The sequence below is a fragment of the Homo sapiens genome, chromosome 14 (assembly GCF_000001405.40).
Source record: "Homo sapiens chromosome 14, GRCh38.p14 Primary Assembly".
In the NCBI taxonomy this organism is placed as follows: domain Eukaryota; kingdom Metazoa; phylum Chordata; class Mammalia; order Primates; family Hominidae; genus Homo; species Homo sapiens.
The window spans coordinates 86,002,643-86,025,560 of record NC_000014.9 but is presented as its reverse complement, the minus strand read 5'-3'; the positions used below and the strand labels follow the sequence as shown (position 1 = coordinate 86,025,560).

At 35.5% G+C, this 22,918-nt stretch overlaps 2 long non-coding RNA genes across 4 annotated transcripts in view; one reads left to right on the top strand and one right to left on the bottom strand.

Moving 5' to 3' along the window:
• Nucleotides 1-18,668, top strand: part of LINC02316 (long intergenic non-protein coding RNA 2316) — a 56,094-nt gene extending 37,426 nt beyond the window's left edge. For all 3 annotated transcript variants that reach the window (NR_184188.1, NR_184189.1, NR_184187.1), the window contains one exon: nt 18,381-18,668. This is a non-coding gene — a long non-coding RNA (long intergenic non-protein coding RNA 2316). The remainder of the gene's footprint in view (nt 1-18,380) is intronic.
• The window catches only part of LINC02328 (long intergenic non-protein coding RNA 2328), a 195,101-nt gene that overhangs the window by 104,218 nt on the left and 67,965 nt on the right, over nt 1-22,918 (bottom strand). The window lies entirely within an intron of this gene.

Here is a 22,918-nt window from a genome sequence, read left to right as displayed (position 1 = left end):
CCAGTAATGGGATGGCTGGGTCAAATGGTATTTCTAATTCTAAATCCTTGAGGAATCGCCACACTGTCTTCCACAATGGTTGTACCAGTTTACAGTCCCACCAACAGTGTAAAAGTGTTCCTATTTCTCCACATCCTCTCCAGCACCTGTTGTTTCCTGACTTTTTAATGATCGCCATTCTAACTGGTGTGAAATGGCATTGCACTGTGGTTTTGATTTGCATTTCTCTGATGGCCAGTGATGATGAGCATTTTTTCATGTGTCTGTTGGCTGCATAAATGTCTTCTTTTGAGAAGTGTCTGTTCATATCCTTTGCCCACTTGTTGATGGGGTTTTTTTTTCTTGTAAATTTGTTTGAGTTCTTTGTAGATTCTGGATATTAGCCCTTTGTCAGATGGGTAGGTTGCAAAAATTTTCTCCCATTCTGTAAGTTGCCTGTTCGCTCTGATGGTAGTTTCTTTTGCTGTGCAGAAGCTCTTTAGTTTAATTAGATCCCATTTGTCAATTTTGGCTTTTGTTGCTATTGCTTTTGGTGTTTTAGACATGAAGTCCTTGCCCATGCCTATGTCCTGAATGGTATTGCCTAGGTTTTCTTCTAGGATTTTTATGGTTTTAGATCTAACATTTAAGAAGCCAAAAGAACAAAGCTGGAGGCATCATGTTACCTGACTTCAAACTATACTACAATGCTACAGTAACCAAAACAGCATGGTACTGGTACCAAAACAGAGATATAGACCAATGGAACAGAACAGAGCCCTCAGAAATAATACCACACATCTACAACCATCTGATCTTTGACAAACCTGACAAAAAAAGAAATGGGGAAAGGATTCCCTATTGAATAAATGGTGCTGGGAAAACTGGCTAGCCATATTTAGAAAGCTGAAACTGGATCCCTTCCTTACACCTTATATAAAAATTAATTCAAGACCTATCATTGTTTCTAATTTGCTGTTTAGCTCATTTAAATTAAAAATTTTAGTTGTAGCTATCACTTCTAATATTTTAATTACATAATTTTTTAGATTGCAGTACTTTGATAAATCTATTCACATTGTGTTTTATTTTCTTGAACATTTTCCTCATAGTTATTTTAAAGTTAATAAGTGACAAAGTTAAATGACTGATAATAATCTATATACTTCTGTTGTCTGTATTTTGGCATACTTTTAATCTTTTGAACCTCTCGGTAGGCATGCTGTAATTTTTTTTGTAAATTCTGGGCTGAGTGTATGAAACATTGTAGAGGCTGTAGATATTATGTATTTTTCTCCCTCAAGAGAAAAAAATACATAATGTTCTTTTAGAAGAGCACCTTGACTAAGTCTGTAATTGAAATAATTCATGCCTGAGTGAGGTCTGGCCTAGTCTTGTTCGCATTTATTCTGAGAAGTAACTTTTCAGGAAACTAAACTGAAACCCAGAGATATTTGCCAGGGTCCCTGCTCCTTGGTAGGCCCTACATTTCTAATGCTTCTTTTCCTGAGACCATCAGAAATTTTTCATTAGATTTTTAACCCATTATCTGCTATTCCCTTGGTTTTAAGAAGAAAAGCATTAGGGAACATCAGGCTCATTTCAATGAATTTATCTAATCTATGGTATCTTGTTCTCTCAAGTCATGGCTCCTTGGACATGCTCTGATGCCTTCAAGGAGCTATATTTAAACACATCGTATCCTGAATTCTAAATTTTTTGTGTGAGATTGCAGGTTTAATAAAATCATACAGCATGGTCAGATGCAAAAGTCTCAAAGTTGTTGCTAATTGTGCAGTTCATGTTAGCAGCTTTTAATACTTTTACTTTTTTAACATCACTGCGCTAAACTTACATGGGAAAAAGAAAATAAGAAAAAAAACAGACAAGAGATCTAATACTTGAAAAATACTTAGTATATAGCAAATATTTCAAACACACCAAAGCACTTTGTATTAGTTCTTTTTCATGCTGCTAATAAAGACATACTGGAGAATGGGTGATTCATAAATGATAGAGTTTTAACTGACTCACAGTTCTACATGGCTGACGAGGCCTCACAATCATGATGGAAGGCAAAGGAGAAGCAAAGGCACTTCTTACATGGTGGCAGGCAAGAGAGCTTGTGCCCGGGAACTCCCATGTATAAAACCATCAGATCTCATGAGACTTATTCACTACTACAAGAACAGTATGAGGGAAGCCACCTGCATGATTCAGTTATCTCCACCTGGCCCTGTCCTTGGCACATAGAGATTATTATAATTCAAGGTGAGGATTGGGTGAAGACACAGCCAAACCACGTCATACTTAAACCCCAGAACTCCACGTAGCATGAGAAAAGGTGGGAGGTATGGATTCTAGGAATTATAGATTTCTCTTCTGTAGGGCTACTATGTTGAGCATAATGAGTGATTCTTTCAGAAAAAAATAAAAGATAATAGTCAAACAAAAAAATTATTGAATCATAGAGGATAAAACAGACCACTAGAGACCATTTATCTCTCATGTTGCAGAAGTTACCTTACACACAAGGCAGAGTGCCTAGCTACTTCATGGAAGAGCTATAGATAGAAGCCATGCTTACAGAATTTTTCTTTAACTCTCTTTTAATGGTTCAAACTGTCCTTCTTGATAGTCATAAACTGAGTGAGGGATGAAGATACCTGCACATTGAAATAAACATTTTTTTTTCCATTTCAATGATAAATTTTAAAAGAAAAAAAAAGGCAGGGGAGAAAAAAATGTTGGCATTAGGGTCCTGACAATTTTCAATTTTTACCTGGCAATGAGGTTGATTTAACCTTCTGCGTGTGGTGCACAGGTTTGCTACGCCCATCCTACGTCTTAGTGCTCCAAGTGAAGCCTTCCATTACACACTAAAAAAATTGATGAGTGTGAAATAAATGGACCCAAACTGTGACTGCATACCGGTGTTACAAAGGAAGCAAGCCTGTCTGAGCAACAAAACCAGAAATTGGCCCAGGGCAGAAAGCAGGGAAGAGCACCCAGTCAAGTGCTAATCAGGTCACCTTCCCTGGCAGGCTCCCACAGATCATCTGTTATAGGCTACTGTCACATGCAAACACGTGTTTATCTGATCACTGAGACAGTGCTGAGGTTTGGCTTACTGCCTCTTGCAGATCTCAGAAGAGTTAGCCTCACTGAAATCTCTGGGTGAGTTTTCAATTGCACATTTTATGTTCTTTGCTAGTTCTGACGTTTCCAAATATTTCTCACCAACTTGTGGCTGAATGCAGGCCATCATGACATGCCCCAGAGGTGCCTAGCTAAGGCATGAATCACATAATGTCTATATTCACATTCTACGAAGTCCTCAGGGGTTGATGTAGTTGTGCATGTGAATTAATGTCCTTATAAAACCTAGCTCAGTATATTATTATTCAAACTTGATATCCAGTCTGTTAATGATTATTGGTCTGCAAGGCAATAAAGAATGTGCTGTTTTATAGATGGAGGCCTTAACACTGCAATGGTGTGTCTTAAATTGTTACCTTTTAACTTAGGATCAAGTTCTTATGGAAATTGAGGGAGCTCTATTGTGTTTTAATCATTAATTGAGCAAACAAATATTTATTGACTACATACAATATGATGGTCACTACACCAAGTTCTGGGATATGACTTTCAATGAGCTCTATTGTGTTTCAATCATTAATTCAGAAAATATTTATTGGCTACAGACAATATGAGTGTCACTATACCAAGTTCTGGGATATGACTTTCAACAAGGCAGATGTGTTGTCATCTACAAGTAGGTCAGAGTTTAATGAAGTAGTGGAAATATCACTAGATTGGCTGTCATAAGACTCGGATTGTACTTTTAAGTACTTCACAAACAGCATGGCACAGATCACTGCTTCTCCATTCATTAAGAGGAAGTAACTACCTGAAGATAAAGAGATGAGCCTCATTTCTCCCAAGAAAAACAAATAAGAATTGGGCCTTTGTATAAATTTCCATTTTTCTTTTTACTACCTGCATAACCTTGAACATATTACCTCACCCTAATTTTTTTAATCAGGAAAATGTGAATGATGATAATAGTCCTTATTTGGTTGGATTATTGAGGATATTAGATGCTCTAGATATATCACCTAGACTATTGTGCTTGGCATACAGTGTTCGGTAAGTGTTTGCTTTTATTATTCTGAAACTAAAGTAGTTGTTACATCTCTAGCAATTTAATTCAACACACATTAATTGAAGCCCCACAATGCTTGTGGCATGTATGAAATAAGACTCACTTCCTTTTCTCATTAGGATATTCACTATCTGGGGTGAAGGGCAGTACTTCCAGCCAAATAATTAAATCAGCATTATATTGTGCTTTCAGAAACAGAGTTATATGCAAAGTTATGTTTGTGCAAAGATGTGTAAAAAATCAAGTCTACCTAGATAAGCAATTATACAAACATTATGAAAGATGCAATCACTAAAACTCTAACAGATGAATAATTCATCAGAGAAGAATCTAAGATACATTCCAAGCCATCTCCATTACACTTTCTCTCTCACACTCTCCCACACATACAAACATGTGCACACACATAAAGTAACACTATAAACATTAGATAACATTCAGAATTTATGTCTTAACTCTACCCTCTTTCCATTAATTTCTCCTTGCCAGGGAATATAGATTACAGGGAAACACATGGTTATAATCAGACTTAGGTTTGATTTCTGGATCCTTTTATGTAAGTCTACTATCCCCCAATCCTAATTAATCTAGAGAATCTGTGTGCCCTCTTGCTCAGTAGGTATAAGTAATCATGCAACATACTTCTACAAATTTCTGTGCATTGAGCAGTCTAGATGAAATGAAAGTAATTTTCCAAGATCGTCTTTCAGGAGATCCAGATTTCATGCTTATCTGATTTCTTACCTATATATGTTTGGAAAGATACATAACTCATCTGCAAGCTGGAAAATGAGAGAAGCCAGTAGCGTGGCACAACCTATCAGTCTTCAAGCAGTAGGATAGAATATTGAATAATATCTTCATTGCTGCATTGTTTGTAGAATTTGAGACCATTTGACAATACAATAAATATTCACTGAGTGCCTACAAGCACTACTCTAGACATCAAGAAAGCATCAATGCACAGGACTCTTAAAATCTCTGCCACTTTTGAGCTGACATTCCAATTGTAATGGATATAAACTGAAATCTCAAACTGGTAAGCCTGAAATAAATATTAGCTTCTATCACCTTCAGCCTTACTATTGTAATTATTTCAAGATAACCCCTGATGTTCTCTGTAACAATATTTCACCTTTATAAAAATACTAGGTAACTGAGTGTTGAAAAGACAGTGTGCTTCATGTGTACAAAATGCGAAGAGAAAGGGCAAGAATGTAGAAAGGAAGAAAACTATAAAGGGATGTAATCAAGTCGAAATTGATTCAGTGAATTAAATTGCAATTGGCAACGCATTTCCTCCTTCTGGTAAACCAAATATTTCAGAAAAGATTATTTATGAATTATTTTTGAGACTTTTCTTTCACTTTGTGTGATGGTTAATATTAGGTGTCAACTTGACTGGATTAAGGGAGGCCTAGATGGGACTGGTGAAGCATTGTTTCTGGACCTGTCCATGAAGGTATTTCCAGAGGAGATTGGCGTGTGAGTCAGTGGACTGGAGGAGAAAGACCCACCCTCAGTAGGTGGGAAGACCCTCCTCTCCTGTAGCCACAAGGTTGAAATTGTTGAAAATAAAACACAAGCCCTCATCATGGCATTGGCTGACTTACAACAAAAGGTAAACTCTCAGCATTGTAGGGTGTTTACTGTTAAAGTGAGGACACTAATTAGAAAAGTACCATTCAATAAACTGAGGGTCTGGCTAGAACAGGGCTTGGGGAAGTAGGGTGGATATTCAACTTGCTTTGTTCCTTCTCTTTCTCCCTTTTAGACTGAATTGCCTTTTGTTCCTCCTGTCCTTAGACATCAGGCCCCAGATTACTCAGCTTGTGGACTCTGGGACTTGCACCAGTGGTCTTCCGGGAGCTCTCAAACCTTTAGCCTCAGACTAGGGGCTGCATTGTCAATTCCCTGTTGTTGAGGCTTTTGGACTTGGATTGAGCCATGCTACAAGCATCTTTCATTTTCCAGCTTGCAAATGGTATATCATGGTACTTCACCTTTCTGATTGTGTGAGCCAACTCCCCCCAAAAATTCTCTTTTATATAGATCTATTGTTTCTTTCCCTTTGGAGAACCCTGACTAATAGAGATTTTGGTACCAGAAGTTGTTCTAAAGGAACGGAATTTTAAAGATGAATTTTAATCGGTTTTGAGGTTTCTACAATTGGCTTTCTAATCTCATTAGACCTTCAAATGCTAAGGACTCTACTTCAAATATTTGTGGAAAACCAAGAAATGTTGGTTGATTGCTCCTGACATCACTAAACAAATAGATGGAATTAAAGGACAAGCTCAGGGATTTGGACTCTCAGCTGCAGATGCACATAAATAGCCTAAAAGCTTCTAAGTATTCTCTGAAGGAGAATCTTCTCTCCTGTAGCCACAAGGTCGATTGTTGAAAATCAAACACAAGCCCTCATCATGTCATTAGCTGACTTACAACAAAAGGTGAACTCTCAGCCTTGTAGTGTGACTACTGTTAAAATGAGGACATTGATTGGAAAAGAATAGGATACTGTACATTGGAATAAGGATGTATGGGAGGACTCCGATGAAGCTTGGGGACAATGAGCTCCTAAATTCTGATGAGCCTTTTTTGCCAGGGGAAGTGGCCTCCCTACTCCCAGTGGCAGTGGCAACAGCCCTCACAGTGGTTTTCATCTTTCTGCCTCTGTCTGGAGGAATTAACCATGCATTGCCTGAAGAAACAATAATGGCATCTGCTGAGGCAGTTGACAAATAAGACAATGCTGGTTCTCCTGGGAACCCACCCCCACCATGCCTCTTTTCTTCTAGAACAATGACTGGACTCAAGTCCCAGAGGCCCCTAAAGGTGAGGTGCAATGAGGAAGTGTGCTGTACTCCAAAGAACTAGCTGAGTGTTCTATTTTGTATACAAGCAGAAAACTGGGGAAACCTGTATGGGAATGGATATTAAGGTTGCAGGATAATAGGAGAAGGAAATAAAGCTGGATCAGGTTGAATTTATTAACATCGGCTCACTAAGCAGGGATTTAATGTTGCAGCTTGGGGAGTTAATAAAAGTTCTAATTATTTGTTTGGTTGGCTGAAATATGGATCACCATGAGAGCTAGAAATGCCTTCTCTTCCTTGGTTTAATATAAAGGAAGAGATTCAAAGGCTTAGGGAGTTAGAATGCTAAAGTGGATTTTTCACATAAAACCTACTCACCCACACTGGGAAGGTCCAGAAGATACACCTTTCATTAATACTCTGAGAAACAGATTTGTGAGGAGAGAACCAGCATCCTTGAAGACCTCTGAGATTTCTCTTCTATGTATTCCAGACCATACAGTGAGAACCACAGTCACTTAATTTTAAAACCTAAATGCAATGGGAGTAACTGGATCCCAAGGTGGTAGGGGCCAAATGGCAGCACTCAATTGCCAAAGGCAAGATGGACATGGTTACAGCAAGAGACAGCAGAGGCAAAACAACAATCAGAATAGTCTGACCCATGTAGACCTACAACATTGTCTAATTAATCATGGTGCTCCTTGAAGCAAAATAAATGGAAAGCCTGTTACATTCTTACGTGATCTGTATATGCAGAAAAAGTCTAGATCAAGTGAACACAAGTCTAACTTGAATCATAAAAATAGAGAATCATAGACCCTCAATCAATTTCCAGACTTGAGCCAGTTTATAGACCCAGAACCCCTTGAATGAAGGGGAGGCTGAGTCCCCTTGAGGAAGGACCCCAGGATACTGCCAACAATTTAAACTGTCAATCTTTTACATCCTTCCCCAAAGGAAACTCTGACCTCTTACTTAGGTAAATATATACTGGGGAAAGGAAAATAATCAGAACTTTTTGGGACTGCTGGACACTGACTCTGAACTGACATTGATTTCAGGACCTGAAACATCATTGTGACCCTCCATTTAAAATAGGGGGTTACGAGGGTCAGGTGATTAATGGAGTTCAAGCTCAGGTTCAATTTACATGGGTTCCCAAACCCATCTTCTGGTTATTTCCCCAGGTCCAGATGCATAATTTGAATAGACCTATTCAGCAGCTGGCAGAATCCCCACCTTGGTTCCCTGATCTGTAGGGTGAGGACTATTATGGTGAGAAAGGCCAAATGAAAGCCATTAGAACTGCCTCCACCAAGAGTAGTGTTTCTATACATCAATAATGATGAAATAGCTGAAAAAGAAAGAAAGAAAGGATTCCAATTTACTATAGCTACAAAAAATAATACCTAGGAATAAATTTAATCAAGGAGGTGAAACATCTCTACAATAAAAACTACTCAACATTGATAAAAGAAATTGAAGAGTACACCAACAAATAAAAAAGACATCTCATGTTTATGGATTAAAATAATTAATATTCTTAAAATGACCATATTACCCAAACTGATCTACAGATTCAATGCAATTCTTAACAAAATACCAAAGGTATTCTTCGCAGAAATAAAAAAAAATCCTAGATAACAATTTGTATGCAGCCACAAATGCCTCTGAATAGCCAAAATATTTCTGAGCAAAAACAAAACAATGCTGGAGGCATCATACCACTTGGCTCCAAAATATATTACAAGGTTATAACAACCAAAACAGCATGGTGCTGGTATAAAGAGAGACAAATAGACCAATGGAATAGAATGGCAAACCCTGGAAATAAATCCATGTATTTAAGGCAACTGATTTTAACACAGGTGCCAAGAACATATACTGTGGAAAGGACAACCTCTTCAATAAACGATGCTGTGAAAATTGAATTTTCATATGCATAAGAATGAAACTAGACATCTATTTCTCTACATGTACAAATGTCAACTCAAAATGAATTAAAGACTTACATATAAGACCTCAAACAATAGAACTAATAAAAGACAACATAGGAAAAATATTTCAGAATTTTGTTCTGGGCAAAAATTTTACGGATAAGACTTCAAAACCATAGGCAACAAAAGCAAAGATAGATAAATGCAGTCTTATCAAACTATAAAGCTCCTGCACAACAAAGGAAACAAGAGAGTGAAGAGACCCCTATAGAATGGGAGAAAATGTCTGCAAATTATTCATCTGACAATAGATTAATATCCAGACTATGTAAAAAACTCAAATAAGTCAACAGCAAAAAGAAACCTCACAAATAATTCCATTAAAAATGGGCAAAGTATCTGAATAGACATTTCTCAAAAGAAGACATACAAATGGCCAATAATTATATGGAAAAATTCTTAACATCACTAATCATCAGGGAAATGCAAATCAAAACCACAATGAGATGGCTAACTTTGTTGGAATGACTCTTATCAAAAAAATGAAAAATAACAAATGTTGGCAAGGATGTGGAGAAAAGGGAACTCTTATACACTGTTGGTGGGAATGTCAGTTAGTACAGACGTTATGGGAAACAGTATCAGAGTTTTCAAAAAACTACAAATAGAAATACTATATGATCCAGTAATCCTACTGCTGGGTATTTATCTAAAGGAAAGAAAATCAGTATATCAAAGAGATATCTGTGCTCCCATGTTTATTGCAGCACTCTTTACAATAGTCATGATATGGAGTCAACTTAAGTCTTTATCAGCAGATGAATGGATAAAGAAAATGTTCATATATACACAGTGGAATACTATTCAGCCTTGAGAGAATAAAATCCTGTCATTTATGGCAACATGGATGAACCTGGAGTACATCATGTTAATTGAAGTGAGTCAGACACAGAAATACAAATATCACATGTTCTCACTCATATGTGAGAGATAACAAGTTTCGCTTCTAAAAATAAAGAGTAGAATTGTGGCTCTTCAAGGCTGAGAAGGGTAGTGGGGAGGGAAGGATAAGGAGAGGTTATTTAATGGATACATAATTATAGCTAGAAGGAGAAGTCTAAGGTTTTATAGCATTATAAGGTAATTATAGTTCATAAAAATTTATTGTATATTTTCAGATAGCTAGAAGAAAGGATTTAGAATGTTCTCTACACAAAGAAATAATTAATGTTTCAGGAGATGGATATGCTAATTATTCAGATTTGCTCATGAGATTATATACACGTATCAAAATGACTGTAATTATTTTGTACTGCATATGTGCAATTATTTTGTATCACTTAAACATTTTTCAAAACTACACAGTAAATAAAATAAATTATCCTCTAAAATGTAATAGATGTGTGTGTGTGTGTATAAGGAAATATTCATGAAGCATTCGTTATATATCAGATTCTATTCTTGACCCTGTAGATTTTGCATACTTGGGTGTTAGTATACATCCTAGGGTCTTCACATTGCCTATGTCAGTGCATGCAGAGTTCATCGTAAATTTTTATTAAGTTCTTGCCAGTTTTTACATTTCCTGTCTTCTGTTTTTCTCTTCAGGTACATGGAACAGAGGCTGTTAGGAAATTTGCCTTGCAACTAAAATTTAAGCAAAGAAACAACTTGTCATCTACCTGTTTACCTCTAACAGAAGCTTATACACATATGCATGGGCTTGGAGAAAATGATATTCACTTAAAAACAATATAATAATGACATGTACAGAGCCATATAGCTCCAAAACCTTTCAAGTGCTACGTCCATTTGTGAGGACATATTTATCAGTCTAGTACTACCTTGTAACAGTACAAAAGTACATTCACATTATTTTTTCTAAAGGAGCTTAGTTCCTAGAGGGAAAAATACACTCTTCTCAAAGTTTTATAATAATAATTAACATACCCTACATGATGTTTGTGAGACTCAAATAAGGAAAACAATGGAATATGCTATATAAGAGCAACATATTATTGTCAAAGTTTTATTTCTTTTTCTCTATCTTTCAAACAAATCATAATCTGCTTTGGTTTTTAAAAGTAGTTTAGTCGTAGAATACTCTGTTCACATAATTTATGTATTCACATTAATCACATAATTTATAAATCATAAAATATGACGATAGTGGTAATAATATAAACAATGATCTAAAAGTATGTTAAAAGTTATAATCTTCGCATCGCACTCTCATGAAGTAGGTTAATAGACAATACATGGCTTGCCTAATTGCACATAGAAATGACTGTTTGGGCCAAGGATTCAAATCTGGGGCATGCAGGCAGAAGTCCTGTTCTCTTGATGTTCATTCTATGCTCTTTAAATAAACCCCATTTTAGTCACATTAATCATATAAATAAATATTTGATTGTTAACCTATTATCATTCAGAGGAACGAGCTTTCATATTTGACTATATGATTTACAATTACCTGGGACCAATTTATGGCTTTTCACTCAAAACAGGTGATAATGTAAGCTGTTCGTGCAAAAAGAATTAGAGAATTGTTGGAGGATTAGTGCTTCTTCTAGCCCTTCTGACCACCAATCCAAGCACAGTTATGAGTAAACACATTTTAAAAAATGATGAGGCGAGAACTCTTTTGGCATATCATTTCCCTTAATTAGTCTGCCAACAAGCATAAATGCCTGCTCTCAAAGCCTGAGTAGCAGTGAACCCACAGTAGCACAGACTTCTAATGCAAGATTTGACCTTGCCCTTATTGCTCAACATTCTATAGGTGATGACAGTGAGTTGAGTCCTTTGATGACATAGACTGTTTACTTAAAGTCCTTCCATCGGAGGCTTAACAACGTAATACAGAGTTGAATAAAGTGGTTTGCAGTCCTGTTGTCAAAAAAAATAAAATGCACTGTCCACAGTGTCCTGGAAAACTGTTAACACATTGTTAGTAGTTTCCAAGCAAGGATATTGTTAAACACATTTCATGTTAATGTAGTCTAGCTCAGTGGCAATTTTCTCCTAGTAAAGAAATATGAGGTTCTTAAAAGGTTTAAGCAAATAATACAGAGTAGGCTTGAAACACTCACAAGTCATGAATTGAACTTTCACTCCTTGTAGTTTAATAACTAAATAATACATTTTATAACTAATTACAGAGAATTTTTTATGTGTTGACTTCCAGTGGGTCACATTTTTTATAGACATATAATATTAAGAAATAAAGTAAGAGGTATCACTATTTTATGTACATTTAGCTGGAAGTTTTTAAGCAAAATTAAGAGGTGGAATGTGATTGCTTGTTCACTCTACAGTGAGTTGTTAATCAGCAGAAGTTAATAAGATTCAATTAAGAATTAAATGCTTATGAGAAATTTAATAGTGTGTTCCTACCAAAAATAAAAATAAAATAAAAGAATTTCTCTGTAACAGTAGTATAGAGGTAAATAGCTATCAGGTCTCAGGCATGATGGAATAAAATAACCCAGTACCAGAGTTAAGACGAAATTTCCTTGGTGTGGCTTTTTTTCTCAATTAGGGGCATCACGGTGAGTTTATTCCTGTCTTCTAACACATCCATCATTCGATGCAGGAGGAAGCAGGAGGCTCGACTAGATGGACCATTACCAGCTCTGGTATATAAATTCCTGTTTGGAGGCCATGGAACTCTCCAAATTCTAATATCCAACAGGATTTTTGTCTTGGCTCTGGAGACTAAATCATCTCTTTGACCAAAGGAGATAGATTTATGCTGCTGAAAAGCAATGCACCCTCTGGAGCAGAGGAGAGAAATTCTATACCACCCAGAGGAATGTGTCCTCATTTTATCTATTAGTGATTTTAAATCCACAGTATTATTTTTCCCCCAGAGAGTTTGTTTGTGTTAGTTTGGTTCATATCACATCTTTTGGATTTGAGGGGTTGAATGTATAAAAATTGAGTATTTGGCCCAACTTCTGAAGCTTTAGAGAGAATAAATCCCTTCCAATATGAGTGTTAAATGAGCCACAGCACTGATTTATTGTCTGCTAAACACTGGAGAATGTGGAGTCTTTGTTAGGGAAACGAGGCAATGAGGGAAAACTGAAATGTTGACAGGAAGGTTTTCATATTAAACTCTAGTATTTTCCATCAAGCAGCCATGCATTTTCTGGTGATTAAAACTGAAAATTAGAAGTAGGAATTTGCATCCCTATTCACTACAAATAAATTAACTCTACTGTATAACTGGTACATCCTTGAGAACACTGTTAGAAGGAAAAATAGCACAATGGTAAGACAAGGTACACACACACAAATGAGTATTTAAGAAGACAGGCAGTAAATGTTTCATTGGATTGTTTTTCTATGAAATCAAGAATAAATTATCAAGGGTCAAAGGATCTTAACAATTACCTTTCCCAGACTTCTTATCTGGAATTTGAGTTCCTTTGCAATATTCACTCATTTACCATTCACTCTGCCTTGCTCTGACTTATGATTGAGAATAGCTAATGGCCAGGTGCGGTGGCTCATGCCTGTAATCTTAACACTTTAGGAGGCTGAGGTGGGAGGATCACTTGCAACAGGAAGAGCTAACTATATTGAACACATTTTTCTGTAAGGAAATATGTACATGCACAAGTATCTCATTTCTTGAGGAGACATCTCTGTTGTAATAAAATTATTATTTATATTAAAGCAAAGTTAACATCCTTCTTACTGTTTACTGTGCACCAAGCATTGCCAATTTTCTGGGCATTTAATCAAATAAACAAACAAAACAACCCTTTAGGATAAGAAAGACAAACCTCTTCCTCTGCTATGGATTTGCAGTGTCTGTGTGGCACTTTTGACTAACAGAGCAAACCTTGTGTTTGTGGGCAAAAGAGAAATGTTTATAGGTTTCAGCTATATCACAAACCTAGGTGATATAAATGCACAAACAAGAGTGCATTTGAAGTGGAGAGACAATCAATAGACAACTGGCATAAATGGAAAACTAGAGGCAGAAAAATCAGATTGAAAAAAGCATTGCAATGCTATAAGAAAGATTTCATTCAAGCCAAGTCAAGGACAGAGGAAGTATATAAAGGGGTGAAGAATGCAAGAGACATCTCAATGATGAAGTAAATAAACTGATGTAGGCTTTACTCTATAAGAACCATGTGATATGTTAAAAAGCGTATGAGCTTTGGAATGACTGAAGTAAAATTAATTCTTATTTGAATCTGAGCTCTATTATTTGCTTTCTGTGTAAATTTAAAAAAATGAAAAAGAAAAAACTACTAAATTTTGTCTCAATCTCAGATTCTTTCTTATATAAGGTTGTAAATAATATGGGATCTCTCAATATTGAGATGCCTAGCACAGAACTTAATACATAATGGCTGCTACATGAATAACACACATCATTGTTAACTATTCTAGTAGCAAACTTTGGTTTTCTCTTTTAGACTTTATTTGTGGTAAAGAACACCGATATCTTGTTTACTCCTTACCCTTCCCTATTACCCTGCTAAAAATCCACCTTTCCTGTCCTCTCCTGCCATCTTGCACATACATACAGTACCCATTAATTGTTAAGGATTAGAATTATGAGTCAGGATCAATATAAATCAAATATTAATTTCTACAGAAGTGTTTATTAGTACAGTCTTATTCTATTACACATACAGCTAATAGAAATAATGTCTGTGCAATAATTTTTGACTTAATATGAAAGCTAATTGTTAAAATTATGTTTCCAAGATAATTTTTTACGACCTAACACAGACAGGTTGCAACTAAAAGGCACATTATATCATTACTCCAGGTTCAATACTTCATAAAACAACATTAGTTCTTTGCAGAGAGTAAGTACTTTCTGCAGAAAAAAATGGTTGAAATTTATATTTTAAGATGTCTCATGGTCTATGTTCTTTCCCTGCTGGGTGACACTCAATGAATACTCCACCTTCTGAATGACCATACCTTTATGGTAGAAGCTGGGTAGAAGGATGACAAATACCTTAACTGCACGTCTTATGTTCAGGGAATTCCTTGGGAATTCCATCAAAGTAGTTCTGCCTCAAAAATGGCTAAGGGCAAATCCTGTGATAAAATTAGTGTTCTCTTTTGGCTTTTTGCCACTATTATTTACGTTCACTCATTCAAGAAATTTTCTGAGCTTCAAAAACATATTTGTATCAAATTGGAACAGTCATTATAATATAAAATTAGCCACTTTCAAGCCCTGGTGTTCATCTTTCACAATCCAGGCAAATTTAAACCTTTTCTTATGTATTTCTTGATTCGGTAGAAATAAATTCTTCCCTTCTTTGTCCTCCTTTGGAAATAATTGATGTCTGTCTTATTTTGCTTATTATATTCAGCCTTTCACTGCAACTGGGGATATTCATCTCTCAATACCAGATTATACACTCTTAAGGCTTTTGTGCCACTCAGTTTCCCATATAGCTTGGCATTATATCTTGTAAGCATAGGGCTCAATAAATGTGTGGTGAATTGAATTGATCTGAGACAAATCACATTCCAGAGCAATGTGCATGGATCTTCAATAGAGAAATTATACAGAAGAAAGATAATTTAAGCAAATCATTCTTTCAAAAGCCTTAACCTTGACCTTAGCTAGTCCCTTTCTGATGGTTAATTTTATGTGTCATCTTGCCTGGGCACAGGCGCCTAGATATTTCATTAAACATTATTCTGGTTGTATCCGTGAGGATGTTTCTGGATGAGATGAACCTTTGAATACAGATTGAGTTAAGCAGTTTGCCCTCCCCAATGTGGGTGGACTTCATCCAATCCCTTGAAGGCCTGACTAGAGCAAAAGGTGGAGTAAGGGAGAATCCACTCTCTGACTGACTGTGTTTGAGCTTGGACATGAGTGTTCTGCCTTGGAGCTCAGACTGGAATTTACTTAGATCATTAGCTTTTCTGGTTCTCAGGTCTTTGAACTCAGACTAGAAATATACCATTGGCTCTCCTGGGTCTCAAGTTGCCAATTGCAGATTGCGGATTTTGGGACTTCTCAGCCTTTGTAACAATGTAAACAAATACCATATGCATATAAGCCATATATATGCATATATGCTCCTAATTTGTTGTTTCTCTGGAGAACTAAGACTAATACACCCTCATAATAAGTTTATCAATCCAAGAAAGAGAGAAAAGTGCGCTTAAAATGCACATGCTACATTGGCCTATGTTCTCTTGTCTCCATTGTCACCCTAAAGTGTTGACAGCGAGAACAAAGAGTCAATTATGATGCTTAAATCATATATTATCTATATCTGGGCATTCAACTGACATAAGTAACACATGTTTTGCATGACCTTCAATGATACCCCTTGTCTCATCACACTAAGAATAAATAAGCACTCAACACTCTGGGTGCCCCACTTCCCCCTTACTGTCTGCCAGCTATAGCTAACATAACCCTGAGGGACAGTGATCACCCTAAACAGGAATTCATTGCAACTTACAAGTTGGGGGTCTGAAATATTTTACCTGGAAAAATCTATCATACAATACCTTCAGACTACTTGTTTATGTCTCTTTAAAAAGTACAAATAACTTCAAACGTAATCACTAACAACGAGATAGCAACAGAAAAAGTAAATACCCTCCCCTCAACCTCAAGCCTATGGAATTAACAAGATCAACCAGGAAATTATTTAATTAACTAAGGTGAAAGACTAAAAGTGGCATTTTGGTTTCATTGTACAAACGATGCCACAACAAAACCCAGGTAAATCAATAAATAATCACACACATCAATTGTGTAGAGAACATATACTGCAAATCACTTAATAAGATAGTTTTAATTATCAGGAATGGCCACCTTCATTTTATCTTACATTTTATTTAAATTCATTATATTTTGAAAAATTTTGCATCCTGTATGAGAAACTAGCTTCAAAAATACAATTAAACTTTCCAAATGCCTCAGGGAGTATGTCCTTTTCCTATCCTCCCACCATAAAATTAGAAAGGAAGCTGATGGCTATTTAGCTGAGAGGATCCCTGTGGGTGACTGGAAAGTTGCTGGGGAGGAACAGAGGAGATATTACCTCTATCAGGAAGGTCACCGTTATTTCAAAGGGAATGGGTTTTTGCCTCAGTGCCTATAATACTAATGTGTAGATCCAGGTGCTATACATTGACTTAGCATTTCAGGAAAGTACAGGCCATGCCAGTGAGATACACTGACATAGAATGCCAGGAGACACCTATTCAGATTTATCAATATTTACTCTAATACTCTCTAAAGTCAAGCTACTTAAACATTGAAGTCACATATATCCATGTAACTAAAGAAAAAGACTTTCTGTAAAGCACTAAAGGACCATATCTAGGTCTTTATTTTCTCTTGCCAAAACCATAAAGTTTGTGTAAAGATCAATTGAAAGAATACAGGGCAAAGTGTCATAAAAACATTGGAATTATTATAATCATAAATTATTCCTCTGATGGCTGTTGCTGTGGTATAGTTTGCTCTATACAGCACTATAATGAAGCAGGATTCTGCTACTGTCAAGTTTTTTGATCAATAAAAATAACAAACTAAAGTAATTCACATTATCATTACATGGAGCTCTTCCAAGGCCCAAACATAGTTTATTTCACTGTGAATGCAGACTTGGATATTTTGCAATGTTAGAATAACCAGTTAATTTTCCAAAGTATATATTTATTTTTAAATGAAAGAAAGAGGGCTTTTGCCTTGGGACCAATGATACTAATATGTAGATACAAATTCTAACTCTATGAGTTAGTTTTCACTCTTTGACCCATGTTCAATAACAAAAATATACTCAAGACACCTGTTGCAAAGATGCAAATTATGTTGATTAATAAAATTATCACAAATATTAAGCTACATTTATAACTTGCTTTTTATAATTTATTTCTCTTTATTTTGCTTCTTTTGGCTAAACAAATACCAGTCCCCTATAGATGTTTAGATTTGATTGACAAATTCAACGAGTGATATGAACTGATGTATATGTTTGCTTACAATATGTATCGGAAAAATATAAACGACGAGAGTGAGAAAAAATAGTTCCAATTTTAATATAAAAAGGGCTTTCTTTCAAAGTTGATTATTCCATTCTTCTTTTCTTTGGGGTAATTTCCAGTCATTGTTGGGTGGGGTGATTGAGAAGAATTGATTATTTAAATAGGACTGCATCTTTGGAGGTTGCACTTAGGGCAAAATGAATATTGGATATCCTGGTAATGGAAGCTCTCCCTAAGGGTATTTTGGTTTTCTTTCAGAGTAGGTTAAATGCCATGATTAATACTCTGAGTAAGTATCACCTGCTATGTTATCAAAAGACATGAACAACTTGACATAGAAAGATGATAATTCACATTTGCCACAAACTAAATGCAGTTTTAGCCCTTTTCCAAGGCTAGGGTACATCAAATGCTGCCTGAAGTTTGACTCAATAGACAAATTGTCCCTTTCTTCTTTTCCTCCCTGCTCAGATTGTTATCTGGGAGAGAATCATTTGCAAGAAAAGAATAACTTATCAGAAAGGAGAAACTGCACAGAAGATCCAAAGGCTCAACTGTTCCCATGTGTACTGGGCTTCTGACTCATTCTGGTTCTCAGGAAAGAGAGGCAAACCTCTGTTTCACAGCAATTTTCAGAGGGATTTGGGGGCTCTCGGGCTGCTATGAGCCAGTGGCTGCTGTGTGCATGCAGGAGGAGGTCATCTTGCAGAGGAGTAGAGATGTTAGCTTTGCAGGGAAATAAAGAAAGATAAAGAAGGAGTTAGTCTGCCTTGTGTATGTCATTTATCCCTTCCTTAGATTGGCAAACAATTTTCTTTCAAGTAAAGGGAAATAATACATTTCAACATTGTCAAACATATTTATCAACATAATTATATGCAATCTGAGTCTTTCATAATGATTTTCCTTTCTCCAGGCATTGGCAAACATAGATAATCAATGTTACCCAGTGACTACAAATAGTTTTCTCAAAAGGCTGTCTTCCCTTTTCAACAGACAGATTGTCAAACTACCAAACAGTAATGCTCAGTGTAGCAAAAATATCACTTAATTGACTAATTGCAGATTAACACTTCCTAGGCATCAGTAATGTTAGAAAGCTTTAATGGCTGTAGTAGTTTATTTTCCTTAAAGACAAAGAATAGCCCAGGATCCATTAAAGAAGTCACTTGCTTATATAACACCACTTAGCAGATATTTTCTCTTTCTTCATGCAAACTTGGGATTCTTAGTACCAAGCAGATGTCTTGGGGACAAAGGCAGTAATGTGAAATATTATTACATTTCTTCAAAGCAAAACAGAAGGAAACTTGAGGAATAAGAATATGCACATTTATAGTAAAATAATTAAGAAATGAGTAGAAGGGTGATGATTTACAAAAGTATAAAATAAGTATTAAGATTCCAGTAATTCATAAATAATGAAGATAATATAGGGAGTCTGGCTAGAGTACAGACCATTTAAAAGTTCCTGGTTTCTTTCAAGATTAAATAACTTCTCAGAAATCAGTATGCAGTTCTGATGCTTTTCCCCCATACCACAATACACCCACCACTTCATTATTTATAGAGACCTAGGTCGTATGACTGAAGATGACTCTGTTCCCAGAGCTGAAACTTCTGGGGATGACTGATCAATTCCATTATTTCTAATACTCTAAACCACATACTCTAACCTAGCATTAGTTTGATCCCAGACTCCAGGGGTTCCTAGGGTTCTTTTGAAAGAAGGGTAGAGTGGCTGGTGGAGAAAGCTTGATTTCCATCCAATGGGAACATTTTTATTTATATTATTAAAATCTACACATTAAACTTATGAAATTGAAGGTGACGTCAAACTAAGGTGAGCTGATAAATCTTGAGGGAAAAGCGTACATTGTCAGAGATTTTACTCTTATAATGCAAAGCTCTTTAGTGCTTAAGAGCATTAGTGTTGTCATAAGAAAACCTTGGTCATGGCTTTGACATTTACCAGCTGTATGACCTCAAACAAGTTATTTAATTTTTGTCTCAGTTTCTTCTTCTGCAAATGGGAATAATAATTCACAGGACATTTTGTGATGATTACATAAAGCGATGATCACAATGCCTGCCATACTTCACATATTCAAAAATAGTAACTATAATAATATTTTAATAATAATAATGATGATGATTTTTAAGGACTTTAAGGAATTATACAGGAATGTTTCTCCCTATACGACTAGCTCAGTATGATTCTTGGGGCAGTAATTAGAAGATCATTTTAGCTGGAAACTACATGATCTTCTGCTTCTGACAACGTTTTTCTCATCACTGCTTTGCTTTACATTTCTAACTCTGCCTTCATTAGGTACTTGCCTACTGAAGACGCTATTTCTTAAATAACAGATGAACTTGAAGAATAATGATCAACCTTATTTAATAATTTACTCAGTTTTCTCCTCAATTTTGCTTCCACCTAAATTCATGGCCCTCATTTCCCCACGATACATTTAATTGTAAAGGTTTCTCCAACCTCTGTTGGACTGCACGATCACAATCCAATAAATGGAAAATAAATTTAATCAGTCAACAAGTGACCTTTACTGTATGTCCCAGCCACTGTTCTAAGGACTGAGGAAGGCTCAGTGACAAGACAAGACAAGCTTTCCCTCTCTGACGTCCCTCATGAAGAATGATTGCGATTTTCAAAGGGAGCTTCTTTATAGTTGTCAACTGTAGTCAAGTATGCTTTGAATGAAGATTTTAGATTCACTTTTCATTATTTCCTCTCTGGTGCAACATGTATTTACCTTCAGAAGATTTTTAATGATAGCCTTTTCCAGAAGATCCTTGTTAATATTTCTCCAAAGATGGAGTTTACACATAGAAGTACATGCTTAGACCCACCCAAGAACCAATAAAGTAAAACAAGAAAAAAAAAACTATGCAGAATCACAACCATTAAAATGTTCACCTAAAACCAGACTTAACTGAAAAGGTATATTTTCTACCATATGGATAATGGAATTTTGCACAAAAGTGCAAAGTTTACTGCTGGGGAGTAAAGGTAAAGAGTCTAAGGGAAAGATTCAGGAGGTATAAAGCCCTTCCTTAGGAAACTTAAAGGAAGTGCTTGAGAACCAATGATTTAATAAAATCAAGCATATCAGCACATTCAAAAGAATAAAGTTAAATGAAATGAGAAAGAGAAGAAGGTCTATGTCAAATACCGTATTCATTTATATGGTAACTGAGAAATTTATCTCCATTGAGAAATTTAATGTCCTGAAAATCAGGCGCTCTCACTATTCTAATTTTCTTAATATTAATTTAGTTTGGTCAAAAATTTAGGTCAAAAAAACTTGTCAAAAGAATTTACAATCAGACGATGAGGATTTTTTAGTTAGCCTCAAAGCAAAGAATGCTGTCTTTGACTGTGCAAACTGCGTGGGAAGGTAGTCATGGATTGAGTCACAGCTGAACCTTGGACATTCAGTGGGCATTGTGACACAACTGGATACTAAAATGATTACATAAAGGAGGTGGAAAATACAGCAATGGCCCATGAAGAAAAGGGAAACAGAAAACACTTTATTTTTGAAAATCTGTTAGCATGTTATTTGCAGCAAAAATTATCACCCACTGATTATTTTAGTATAATGAGGATGCTAAGGTTGAAGTTATCAAGATCAATAAATACAGATTGAAAAAATAATTATATTCTCCCAATTTTGCCCAGTATCTTCAGTCAAGCAAGTAATAGGGAAAAAAGAAGAAATACCAAATATTTTCTTATATTCTTCTTATCTGACCTGTTTTAAAATTAAGGTGAAATAGATCTCTAGCCATAGGATCTTTAGAACTAAATGAGCTTAAGTGCCACAGCTATGTCATATTATCTTGAAGGGAAAGGTAATTATTTTTGTGACAGGCCCATTTCTTATTATCACTAATAATCTAAAATTATATATTTTGTCATGTAATTATTATCTACCATAAACAGCCAGTAGTGTGTTAAACTGATACTGGGAACTCCTTGTTATGCTCCAACTCCAAGGGCAAATAGTCTTGAATTACATTCATACTGTTTATTTTATTCATTATTCAATTGTTTGTTCAATGTTCCAAAATGAAAGATCTCACAGAACTTCTAAAAAAAGCACTGCCTTTCAAGAAATTATGCAATAGGTATTTGAGCCAATCATGTCTGTATTATTTGATGCATACTGACTTTACCTGGGTATTTTTTACACTCTCTAAGCATAGATTACTCGTTAGTAAAATGATGATAAACATAGTATGAATGTCACACAACTGTTGCAACGACATCACACAATTGTTGCAAAAATTATTGAATAAAAAGTACTTAGCAAAAAAGCTCAGCCAATGTTAAGTTTCATGAATCAATTTGATCCCAGTAAAAACCCAGCACACTATGTGTATATGCGTGTGTGTATGAATGTGTGTGTGTGTGTGTGTGTGTATGTGATGTGTAAACTAACAAGGTGATGTAAGGAAATTTAAAGGACCTAGATTAACCAAGATTATTTTGAAGAAGAGCAAAGTTGAAAGATCTATACTACCACACAGTGATTTAGTATAACACTAAATAGTAAATAACTAAATAGTAAAACACTAAATAGTAAATAAATTATGGTATTGGCTCAAGATACAGAAATAAACAAAAGAAGACAATAGAGTCTAGAAATAGATGCCCACACATATTGTCACCTGATTAATAACAAAGATGTCACTACAATTCAGTTGTGGAAAAGATGGCCTTTTATACAAATGATGCTAGGATAATTTGAAAAAGTGAATCTTGAGGCCCTAACTCTCATCATACACAAAAATATTCAAGATTAATCATAGATTTAAATGTAACAAAATAATAACATTTCTAAGAGAAGACATAGCACAATATCTTCATGACATTGGAGTAAACAGCTTGCAACTAACCCTAAAAGGAAAAAAATAATAATAATTGGATTTTATTAAAATTAAGAATTTCTTCTCATCAGAAGATCATTAAGAAAGCAAGAAGA